The sequence below is a fragment of the Homo sapiens genome, chromosome 16, assembly GCF_000001405.40.
Source record: "Homo sapiens chromosome 16, GRCh38.p14 Primary Assembly".
NCBI lineage: Eukaryota > Metazoa > Chordata > Mammalia > Primates > Hominidae > Homo > Homo sapiens.
Window position 1 is genome coordinate 24,737,409 of NC_000016.10, and position 12,359 is coordinate 24,749,767.

General features: G+C 39.6%; 1 protein-coding gene across 48 annotated transcripts in view; it reads left to right on the forward strand.

The window, feature by feature from the left end:
• Positions 1-12,359, forward strand: part of TNRC6A (trinucleotide repeat containing adaptor 6A) — a 216,014-nt gene that overhangs the window by 127,204 nt on the left and 76,451 nt on the right. The gene's annotated exons all lie outside the window — the stretch shown is intronic.

Below are 12,359 nucleotides of genomic sequence, written 5' to 3' on the forward strand. Positions count from 1 at the left end.
AAGATGTCTTATTTTAAAAATGATTTGCATACTCTGTGTGTTTGAGTTGGCTATGAAGGAGAAATCCTAGCATTTCCACTCTTGTAACTAGGGAAAAGCATTTTGAATTTTTAGCAGTAGTATATTATGTGATGATGACTCAGCTGACTTCCCGTTTCAAATGGAATGTTCAAAACAGATTGAAACCTGGTTGAAGAATTTTATACTTTGAACCTTACAAGATATTTTCTGCAAACAGTGACTGATTGGATTTTGTATAATAACAAACAAGATTAAGCCAACTCAGTTGTTTTGCTGTTCTTATTAGTGGTTTTCAGTCAGGGAGCACTTATTGAGCAGTTTGCTGCAATAATATTGAATATTTTTAGAGTTATGACGTCTGTGTTTTGTTGACTTTGGTCCCTTCTTTCTCCCATTCTTTTGAAGTTTCCCTAAAACATGTGTGCACAGACGGGAGAGAATGGTAGTTAAGTGTGTGCTGATTTTAAATGTCCTTTTAAATATCATTTATTCCTTGATAATTGACTGTATAACTGATGTAAGAGAAATATGTTTTATATGTTATTCCACTTGTGAATCTCTTTGCAATGTGAGGCATATAGTGAAAATCTTACAAAGATAGGGTCATAAAATGTGCATTCTCTACACTGCTGCAGGTTAATCGTCCTCGAGCCACGTTTCTGAGGCCTGTCAGTCACTATTTCTTAGAAACCTTTGTTGGCTCCTTCCCAGTGACTCTGGAATTAAAGCCCAGACTCTTGTTTTTTGCTCAGCTTATCAATTTAGCACTGTCCCTTCCACCTTTTGCCCTGTCCCTAACTCTTCCTTCTCTGAATGTACCTTTCAGTTTCTCTCAACTTTTAAATAACAGCTTTATTCAGATAAAATTCCCATATGATAAAATTCACCCTTTTAAAGTCCACAAAGTGTATGATTTAATGGTTTTTAGTATATTCACAGAGTTGTGCAATCAGCACCACTGTCTAATTCTAGAATTTTCACCCCTTCACCCAAAAACCCCATAATAGCAGCCACTCCCCATTTGTCCCTTCCACCCAGCCTCTGGCAACCACTAATCTACTTTCTATTATAACTCTATGGACTTACCTATTTTCGTTTAAGTGGAATCATACTATATGATACTTTTGTACGTGACTTGTCTTATTTAGTGTAGTGTTTTCAAGGTTCGTCCATCATGTCGCATATATCCTTTATTCCTTTTTATGGGCAAATAAATTTCATTGTATGGCTATTGCCCATTTTGTTTGTCCGTTCATCAGTTAATGGGCATTTGGGCTGTTCTAACTTTGGGGCTATTATGAATAATATTGCTATGAACATTCATGTACAAATGTTTGTGTGGACATATATTTTCAATTCTATTGGTTATATACCTAGGGGTGGAATTGCTGGGTTATATGGTAACTTTGTTTAACTTTTGTTTGTGTTGTTTTGTTTTGTTTTTGAGACGGACTCCCTCTGTTGCCCAGGCTGACGTTCAGTGGTGCAATCTCAGCTCACTGCAACCTCCCACCTTCCAGGCTCAAGCCATCCTCTCACCACTGCCTCCCAGGTAGCTGGGACTGCAGGTGCATGCCACCACGCCTGGCTAATTTTTTCTATATTTTGTAGAGATGGGGTTTCACTGTGTTGCTCAGGCTCTGTTTAACTTTTTGAGGAACTGCCCGACTGTTTGCAAAGCAGCTGCACAGTTCTACATTCTCATCAGCAATGTATGGAGGCACTAGGTTCTCCACATCCTTTCCATTGCCAGCATTTGTTAGGGTTCTTGTTTCTGATTTTAGCCATCCTAATAGATGTAAAGTGGTATCTCATTATGGTTTTGATTTACATTTTCCTAATGGCTAATGATGATTAGCATCTTTTCATGTCCTTATTGGCCATTCGTATATCTGATCTGAGAAGTGGCCATTCAGATTCTTCTCCCATCTTTAAATTAGGTGATATTTTTTGTCATTGAAAAAGGTCTTTATATAGCTTAGATACAAGTCCCTTATTAGATATATGATTTACAGGTATTTTTTCCTATTTTGTGGCTTTTCCTTTCACTTTTTTTTTTTTTTTTTTGAGACAGAGTCTTGCTCTGTCGCCCAGGCTGGAGTGCAGTGGCATGATCTCAGCTCACTGCAAACTCCACCTGCCAGGTTCAAGCGTTTCTCCTCCCTCAGCCTCCTGAGTAGCTGGGATTACAGGCACCCACTACTATGCCCAACTAATTTTTGTATTTTTAATAGAGACAGAATTTCACCATGTTGGCCAGGCCAGCCTTGAACTCCTGACCTCAAATGATCCACCCGCCTCTGCCTCCCAAAGTGCTAGGATTACAGGCATGAGCCACCGCATGCAGCCTCTTTTCACTTTCTTGATGAAGTCCCTTGAGCACAAAAATTTAAAATTTTGTAAATCTAGTTTACCAGTATTTTTTTCTGTTACTTGTGTTGTTGGCAACAAATCCAAGGTCACAAAGATTTACTTGTATTCTAATAATTTTATAGTTTTAGTTCTTAATGTTTAGTTCTGTAATTCATTTTGAGTTAAGTTTTGCATATGGCATGAGGGCTCCAATGTCATTCTTGTTATGTAACTATCCAGTAATTCCAGCTTCATTTGTTGAAAAGACTTTCATCTTGGCACCCTGTTGAAGGTCACTTGATCATAAAATGAAGAATTATTTCTGGACTCTCAATTCTATTCTGTTGATACTATGTGTTCATCATTATGCCACTTCCACACTGTCTTGATTACTTCAGCTTTGTTGTAATAAGTTTGGAATCAGTATGAGCCTTCCTTCAAGATTGCATTGGCTGGATAACCAGAGACTAATTATTAAAAAAAAATTTTTTTAAAGATTGCATTGACTATTCTGGTTGCATTTCTATGTGAATTTTTGGATCAGCTTGTCAATTTCAGCAAAAAGGCAGCTGAGATTTTGATAGGAACAGTGTTGAATATGTAGGCCAGTGTGGACAGTATTGCATTTTATAATATTAAGTCTTCCAGTTCACGAACATGGAATCTTTTTCTATTTATTTAGGTCTTTAATTGTTTTCAAAGATGTTGTGTAGTTTTCAGTGTGTAATCATGCTTCTTTTGTGGAATTTATTCCTAAAACTTTTTGATGCTATTGTAGGTGGAATTGTTTTCTTGATTTACTTTTTGGGTTGTCCACTGCTACTGTATAGAAATACAGTAGATTTTTTTTAAAGTTTTTTAAAAATTGTGAAACACGTAAAATTTACCATCTTATCCATTTTAAATGATGTAGTTTGGTGGCATTGTCCATTCACATTGTTGTGCAGCCATCACCACCATCCACCTCTGCAACTCTTCATCTTGTAAAATGGAAACTCTGTACCCGTTAAATCATAACTCCCTATTGCCTTCAGCTCTTGGCAGCCACAATTCCACCTTCTGTCTGTATGCATTTGATTATTCTAGATACCTCATTAGTGGAGTCATAGAGTGTTTGTCCTTTTGTGACTGGCTTATTTCACTTAGCATAGTGTCCTCAAGATTTGTCCATATTGTAGCGTGTGTCAGCCAATTGATTTTTGTATGTTGATACTGTGTTCTGCGGCTGTGCTGAACATGTTCATTAGTTCCAGTAGTCTTTATGTATCTGGATTCATTAGGACTTTCTGTGTACAAGAGCCTGTCATCTGTGAATAGAGACAGTTTTACATCTTCTTTTCCAATTTTCGTGCATGCTTACTCACACACGCACTCTCTTTTTTCTGACTGGAACCTCGAGCTCAGTGTCGAATAGGAAGTGGCAAGATCAGACATCCTTGTCTTGTTCCTAATCTTGAGGAAAAGTATGCAGTCTTTATCATTATGTATGTTGTGAGCTGTGGGCCTTTATCAGGTTAAGGAAGTTTTCTTTTATTCCTGTTTTGAGTGTTTTTGTCTTGTAAAAGGATACTGGATTTTGTCAGATGCTTTTTCTGTGTCTCTTGAAATCATCATGTAGCTTTGTCCTTCATTCTATTAACATGGTGTATTTCGTTGATTTTCATGTTAAACCACCCTTGCATATCTGGGATAAATCCACTTTGTGTAGTCCTGTTTGTTGCTAGATTTGGTTTGTTAGTCTTTTGTTGAGGAGTTTTATGTTTGTATTCATAAGGGTTATTGGCCTATAGATTTATCTTTTGATACCTTGGTTCTCTTTTGGTACCTGGTACCTGATTTGCTCTGGTTTGCAATCTGGGACCTTTAGCTGTTGGTTTTGCGTCCACCTAATTCTGCATTGTACAATAATAATTGTTTTTATGTATTCAGTTTTATTTTCTACTGTATGCACTTCCTCCTTTGGTTGCAACCTTCTTTGCATCCTAACCTTAGCTTAGTGCAGTGCTTTGTGCCTAGTCTCTCATGGCTAGCAATTAGTGTACACTTTTTACATTTTATTTATTTATTTTTTGGGGGACATGGTCTTGCTCTGTTGCCTAGGCTGGAATACAGTGGCGTGATCGTGGCTCACTGTAGCATTGAATTCTTGGGCTCAGGTGATCCTCGTGCTTCAGCCTCCTGAGGAGCTGGGACTACAGGCATGTGCCACTGTACCTGGCTAATTTTTTAATTTTTGTAGAGACAGGGTCTTGCTGTGTTGCCCAGGTTTGTCTCAAACTCCTGGCCTCAAGTGATCCTACCACCTTGGCCTTCCAAAGCACTGGGATTACAGGTATGAGCCACCACACCTAGTCCCACTGTACACTTTTTACATGCATCTGTTAAGTACTTCATCTGCATTACCCAATTAAATCTTCACAACCACCCATTGAGGGAGGTACAGTTTGAGACGTCTCATAAATTAGATGATGAAGGCTTCAGAGAAATAAAATAAATTGCTTAAGGTTACACACGTAGATGGTGGAATTGAGGTTTAAGACCACTTCTATTTGACATTTGGACCCAGGGGTCTTCACTGCATGCTATGCTGCCTAGGAAATGCTTGTTTGAATAGATTGGAATTGAACTGGTCCTTAAAGGAAAAGTAACATATGGATAAGAGTAAGAATTAAAAGAGTGCATTTTTGGCAGTGGTGTTGGTGTTACAGTGTTAGTAAAGGCAAGGAAGCAGGAATTGGAATCTAATTAGAGTGCCCAGTGACAGGGAGTATTGTACAAGTAGGACTGTTTTTTGTCTCCAGAGCAGTAATTAGTCCTATTTGGAAGAGTGAGATTAACATCTAAAATAATTAGAAAATGTCTGGGCGCAGTGGCTCACGCCTGTAATCCCAGCACTTTAGGAGGCCGAGACAGGTGAATCACCTGACGTCAGGAGTTTGAGACCAGCCTGTCCAACATGGTGAAATCTTGTCTCTACTAAAAATTTCAAAAATTACCTGGGTGTGGTGGCAGGTACCTGTAGTCCCAGCTGCTCAGGAGTATTGTACAAGTAGGCAGGAGAATCACTTGAACCAGGGAGGCGGAGGTGGCAGTGAGCCGAGATCGAGCCATTGCACTCCAGCCTGGGTGACAGAGCGAGATGCTGTCTCAAATAAAATAAAATAATTAGAAAATGAGTATTGTTTAATTAGAGGTCAAGGATGAGGTTTGTTTGGATTGGAAAGAATCATGAAGGGACTAGTAATTAAGCCTTAAAAGAAGAGTAGGATTTGGGTGGGTAGATGTAGCAAACTGAGTTTTGGGTCAGCCTTACCACAGCCTTGTACCATCTGACAAGTCATTAGGACTTTCTGATCCTCAATCTCTTTAACTGTCAAAGGGGAATAATACCAGTGCTATGTTTCAGGGTTGTGAGTTCAAAATGGATAATATCTCAGAGTACTTTGTAAATTGTAGGTGTTTCTGTCCTTATGGTGGAGTATCTATTGTTTTCTAAGTTTCTAAACTCACTAACTTTCCTCAATCTGAGCTTTTAATTAATTTTTTATTATTATTTTTGAGAAAGGGCTTTACTCTGTCACCCAGGCTGGAGTGCAGTGTGGAATGATCTTAGCTCACTGTGCGACCTCTGCTTCCCTGGCTCAAGTGATCTTCCCGCCTCATCCTCTCGAGTAGTTGGGACTACAGGCATGCACCACCACACCCAGTTAATTTTTATATATTTGTAGAGACAGGGTTTTGCCATGTTGCCCAGGCTGGTCTCGAACTCCTGGGCCCAAGCAATCTGCCTTGGCCTCCCAAAGTGCTAGAATTGCAGGCATGAGCCACCTGCAGAGCTTTTTATTTTGAGTTAATTTCCGATGTAGAGAAATGCAAGAATAGAACAAAGAACTTCTGAATATCCTTAACCCTTAATCCTCAAACATTAACATTTAATCACATTTACTTTATTCCCTCTTTTTATACATACTGTTTTTTACCATTTAAGAGTAACTTACAGACATGATACCCCTTTACTCCTAAACACTTAGTCAAAGATCTTTTCTTGGTAACTACAGTACCATTATGAAAATGGGCACAGTAACATTGGCACAGTCTTAATAGCAGATCTACAGATCTTACTCAGATTTTGCCAGTTGTCTCAATAATTCCCTTTAGAGCCAAACGAAATCTATTTTTTCTTGGTCAGGTCTTCAATCGAAGATCACAAGTAGCATTTAGTTTTCATGTTTGTTTAGTTGCCTGCATTCTGGAAGTTTCTTAGTTTCTGCTCTTCAGGACCTTGATATTTTTAAAGAATACAGGCTAGTTACTTTGTAGAATGTCCCTCAGTCTGTATTTGTCCGTTATTTCCTTATGACCTGATCAGGTTATGCAGTTTTGGCAGGAATAGTACAGAATTGATGTGGTGTTCTCAGTACATCATGTCAGGAGATGCCTGATATCCTTTTATCCCATTATTGGTGATGGTTAACTTCAACTGCTTGGGTGAGGTGGTCTCTGTCGGGTTTCATCACTGCAAAGTTAGTATTTTTCCCTTTGTAATTAATAACACTATTGTTGGGAGATACTTTGAGAGTACGTAAATGTCTTGTTTTCTCATCAATGTGCTTGCCTTAACCAGTAGGGCCAAGTAGTGATTTTTAAAGTCAACCATTCTTCTTACATTAGTTGATATTTTACTGTAAGATTTGGTACTTCTCTCCATTCACTCACTCAATCATTCATTCATATCAGTATGGACCCATGGGTTCTTATTTTATTCAGTTGTTTGTAATTTTTTATTAGCATAATTTATCGCTCAAATTATGGTGCTAGTGGAAGCCCCTTTCAAGCTCAACTTCCCACTTTTTGAGATCCATACTGTCATCTGGATCCTTACTGCTACCTGTTTGTATGCTATTCTCCTTCCTTCCTAAGGGGAAGACATGCCAGCTAAAGCTAAGCTAAGAAATATACAGCATTGCTGCCACTCTGTCTGTTGTCCTCTTTTGTGCTCATACTCTGTCACAAATATATATTTTTTATTAATTTGTATATGTACACGTCTCCAGAATTTCTTTATGCACGTACAAGGACATGTAAATATATATATATTCATATCCCTCCCAACACAAAAAGATAGCACACTGAGCCTTAGATTTTGTTTTGTTTTTCCAGTTAACTTTAAGCCTTCCTGATCCTTTCACATCAGGGTGTAGAGGAGACCTTTGTTTTGCAGCTGCATAATATTCCATTTTATGGATATATCCATTTTATTTAACTACTGTATTTGCAGATAATTGTCAGTTATTGTAAATAGCATGTTCCCCACCCTTCAATACGATGACCCCTTTCCACTTCCAGATAACTATTAGTTGTCCTTACTTTAAAAAATATGCAAAACTTCATTTTATCCTATTCTCTTCATTTTACAGCTGAAGCTTTTGAAAAACCGATCCAAATCTCCAACTTCCTTACCTATTTTTGCTCCAGTTCAGTTTTCATCTCTACTGTCTGGTGAATTCTATAGTTTTGAAGGTTGCTAGTGACTTCCTGTTGTGTAGTGCTAGACAGGTTTTGGTGATTAATTTAGGTAGGAGGATAAAAATGAGAAAAGGAATGGGGGGTGGCAATCAAATGGGAAAAGAGGAAGACTGGAAGGAAATAGAAGAAGGTGGGATCTGCATGGGAGAAAGTAGGAGAACAGAATGTTTTTTGGCAGAAGATGTAAAGTGTATTTTTATTTCTAGCTTGTAACATACAGCTGGCTTCTATGTGAGGATGAGCTAGCTTGTGGTGTGTTGCTGACTGATAGGCTAGTTGGGCCCTCAGGAAAGTTGCTTCCTGTTTTCTGTCTCCTAAAGCAAAATAGAGACACCTAACCCCTTGTCCCATTATTGTCATTTCTCCCTCTGTTGCCCAGGGTGGCATGCAGTGGCACAATCATAGCTCACTGCAGCCTCCAACTCCTAGGCTCAGTTGATTCTTGGGCCTCAGCCTCCCATGTAGCTGAGACTACAGGTATGTACCATCCCCCCCCCCCCCAGCTAATTGTTAGGATATTTTGAGTTATCTCAGATTTATTCTTTGCTTGCTTTTTTCACTGCCACCATGCTAGTTTGGGGAACTACACATTCACTTAGATTTTCGCAACAGTCTTCTCACCCTTGTTTTTGCCAATTTATTGCCTATTCTTACCCAACATTTTCCCTCCCTTTTTCAATTCCAGTCAGTGCTGGTCCCTGCAATTGTCATGCTGACAAGTCTCCATACTTCGCTTGTGCCCACACCTTTCTGTGCTCCTAAAAAATCTTGCCTCTTTTGCAAGAGCCAGATCAACTTCTTACTGCTCCATAAAGCCTTCCACAGTTGAAACAGCTCTTATACCTGTCTTACTTCACTAATCTTGTTTACAACCTGTACCAAATGTTTGCTTGTTTTCTTATTTCAGATGTGTTCAGTTGTTTCTACAAAATTGTAGGAATTTTTTTCCTATAAAAAAAATCATGTTTCCTAGCTGAGTGCAGTGGCTCACCCCTGTAATCCCAGTACTTTGGTAGGCCGAGGTAGGAGGATTGCTTGAGCCCAGGAGTTTGACACCAGCACCACCTCATTCCAGCTCGGGGCAACTGAGTGAGACTTCGTCTCTAAATAAATAAATAAGAAGTTTAGTGCTTGAGGTTTCTATTGGGAGCTGGTTCTGTACACTATGGAAATCTACTCCCCGCCCCACTTTAAAATTACTGTGTAGTATTCCTTGGTGTGATTACAGGATGATTTAACTTTTCCCTATTGATTGGTTTTTGGTTATGATTTTATGCTGCGGTGTCTATCTTTGTACGGTTCCTTTTTCAGAGGCTTAGATTTGAATTGATGGATCATAAGATAGTGACATTTAAAAATTCATTGTGAATAGATACTTCCAAATTGCTCACCAGAAGCTTAGTGCTAGTCCATACATACTTCTGATAGCAAGTACAAGAGTACCCTTCAGAAGGGATTAATTTTAATGATATTCAGGGCTGGGAATGTAGGAAAAATTGACCATCAAGTGTCAGGAGGCGCAAGAGTAGGAAGGGGCATTCTACCTCCAAGGTGTACCCTGCTCCCTTGATAGGCCCTTGAAATAGAGACAGACTCTCACTATGTTGCCCATTCTGTTCTCAAACTCCTGGCCTCCCAGACTCCTGGGATTACAGGCCTGAGCCACCATACCCGGCCAGAAACGCATTCTTGAACGGTACAAGTAAATCATTTGTAGTGGCTACTGGAAGATACGGGCAAAATTTGAAGCTTAGCTTGATTTGTTGTGTGGAATCCTAATCTTGATCTATTTGTTTTTTCAGATCGAGATATTGCATTTCCCCTAGTCAATGTATGAAACCAACTTTAAAATACAATTTACATACAGTAAAATTCAAACATTGAGTGTGTAGGTGAATGATTTGACAAATGTATACACCCTTGTAATTATCACTCCAATCAAGTTAGAAAACATTTCCATTTTCCTAGAAAGTTCCCTCAGTGGCATTGACTTTTACAGGCCACCTCAAAGCCTTTATACATGAGATGCAGGACATAAGTCAAGTTCTGATAAAAGGGGAGTCTGGTTTTTACAGACAACGAGGTAGATTCATAGAACTTACAGATGTGAGGTATCCTGCAAAGTAGCCTTCAGGGCATGGATGATTGCTAACTGGAGTGTTGTCTTGGTGGCAGGTGCATCAAACAGGGTGGCCCACTTAGGCCTTTCAAATCCATCAGTCCTTGCTCCTCTTGATAGTTGTGGTAAATGATATAGTCAGATGTCTTAAGTGAGTCTCTATGAACATTTAACTCCTGGAAGCTGACGTGTTTGGGCACAGGTGTTGTTGTTGTTTTTCCAGTTGGCTTTCTCTGAAGGAGGAGATATGGGAAAAAGCATGACTGGTTGGCTGTGATGATAGTGTTGAAGAACAAAACTTACTCCCCTCTGTGCTTACAGTATCGGCTGATACTGTGATATTTCCTTGAGAAGAAATGTCTGGTACATCTTTTAAGTACTAAAGGGGATATTTTTGGCCAGGAAAACACTTGCTAGTAACCTCATCAGAAAGTCTTGAAAATGAAGTTTGAGAAAGGAGAAAATACTCCAGATAGAGACCATTACATGGAGTAAAATTATAGTGACATAGAAGATCAGAAAAGGACATGTCTGTAATTCACAGCAGAACATGAAGAACAAATGCTGAAGGTGCTAGATGTTTCTGAATAAGTACCTGTGCTATTTTGACACAAGAAGGGTAAAGACAGCCTTTTGGGTGCCACTGAGGACTGGTGAGTTGGATTCATGGCTAGGCAATTGAGTGCTTACTAGATAAGCTTTGTGCTAAGTAAGCAGTCCTAATTCTTATAAAAATATTAAGACATTGACATGTATGGTCATTTGCCCCCAGTTTTTTCATGAAGAAACAGAGGCTGAAGAAGATTAAGTATTTTTAACTAGTAATCAGCTTTTAATCTTGACTTCTGCATGTCTCAGGGTAGGTAACATGACAGTGGTGTAACCTAGTTGCCGTTGTTTACTGATTTTACTCTGCTGCTCTCATATGCTGTGGCTTTCTTGCTCCTTGACTTCCCTGGGATTGTAGTGTGAGTGAGCTTGTTCAGTCTTACTACCTCCTGCACACAGAATTCAAAAGAGAGTGAGTCATGGCCACAGTTGGCAGGAATCTGTTATGTTACTCCATTAGCCACATGACACTTCTGCTTGTAACAAAATGACAGCGAAGTATAGCAACAGTTATCATACTCTTCTTCCAGTTATCCTTTTAGCTGATTTTAGTAGTCCTATACTTTACTAAGTTTTTATCAATTGTGCATAATGTCATTCATTTCATTTTTCGGTGTCTGCATCTCCTCTCAGTCTGTTCCATCAGCAAAGCCAACTTAAATTTTGTTTAATCTCATTGCAGCGCACCTATAGCAACAACCCCTTCCAGTTTCTTAGGCACTTGTCTTTCTCCTTTTATCTTCTTCAACATCCCTACTGCCATATGCATTCCAGCCTTGATAAATAATGTGCAGCTTCCAAAATGTCTAGTTCATATCTCCAAATCTCTCTTTTTCTGCCTGATATTCCTTTTTTTTGAAACAGAGTCTTGCTCTGTCGCCCAGGCTGGAATGCAGTGGTGCCATCTCAGCTCACTGCAAGCTCCACCTCCCAGTTTCACGCCATTCTCCTGCCTCAGCCTCCCGAGTAGCTGGGACTACAGGTGCCCGCCACCACGCCCCTGCCTGATATTCTTAGTGTCCCCTCTGGAAAGCTTCCTCAGGGCAGAGTTAGGTATTTTCATTTTGTGTGATGCTTTTCTTTGGGTAACTGGTTATTTTGGTTGTTGGTATTATGAATGAAGGTTTAGGGTCTAGACTTTAGGGTGATGACTACAGGTAGCCGGAGTGAGTTTCTTCCGCCTTTGCAAAGGTTTTTTTTGCCCAGTAGACTCCTTCCCTGAATGGGAAGGCTGATCTGTGTGAAGGGTGTTGATTGGCAAGCTTTACTTTACAGTGTGATGGAGGGAGTGGCAGCAGCCTCCAGTAAGATGGGCTTTGTTCTGGGACAACCAAACCCATTCAAGCACCTATCAGACTCCTGTGGAAGGTTTTGTTTCTTTAGAGAGTATTTCTTTGGCTTGAGGCTGCATTTAGAAGCAGCTACTATCTGTGGCTGTGTAGGCATCTGGATGGGAAGTGGGTGGGGTTGAGTAGCTATGGCTTTTCTATTCCTTAGGCAGTCTTTTTGCTTCATGCTCTCTTGCTCTGGTCTTCTGGAACCCTCTCTAGAGCTCCACCAGAAAGGATGGTGCCTAAAACATCTATTTCAGACTGCTCTTATGTTTATTCTTGGGTGGGGTGGCTTTTGCTTTTGCTTATTCATTTGCTTTGAATAGAATAAAAAAGTAATAACCCTTTTTCCTGAAAGGTAATAACCTGTTTCCTGAAACACATTTGCGCAGTCTGTCACT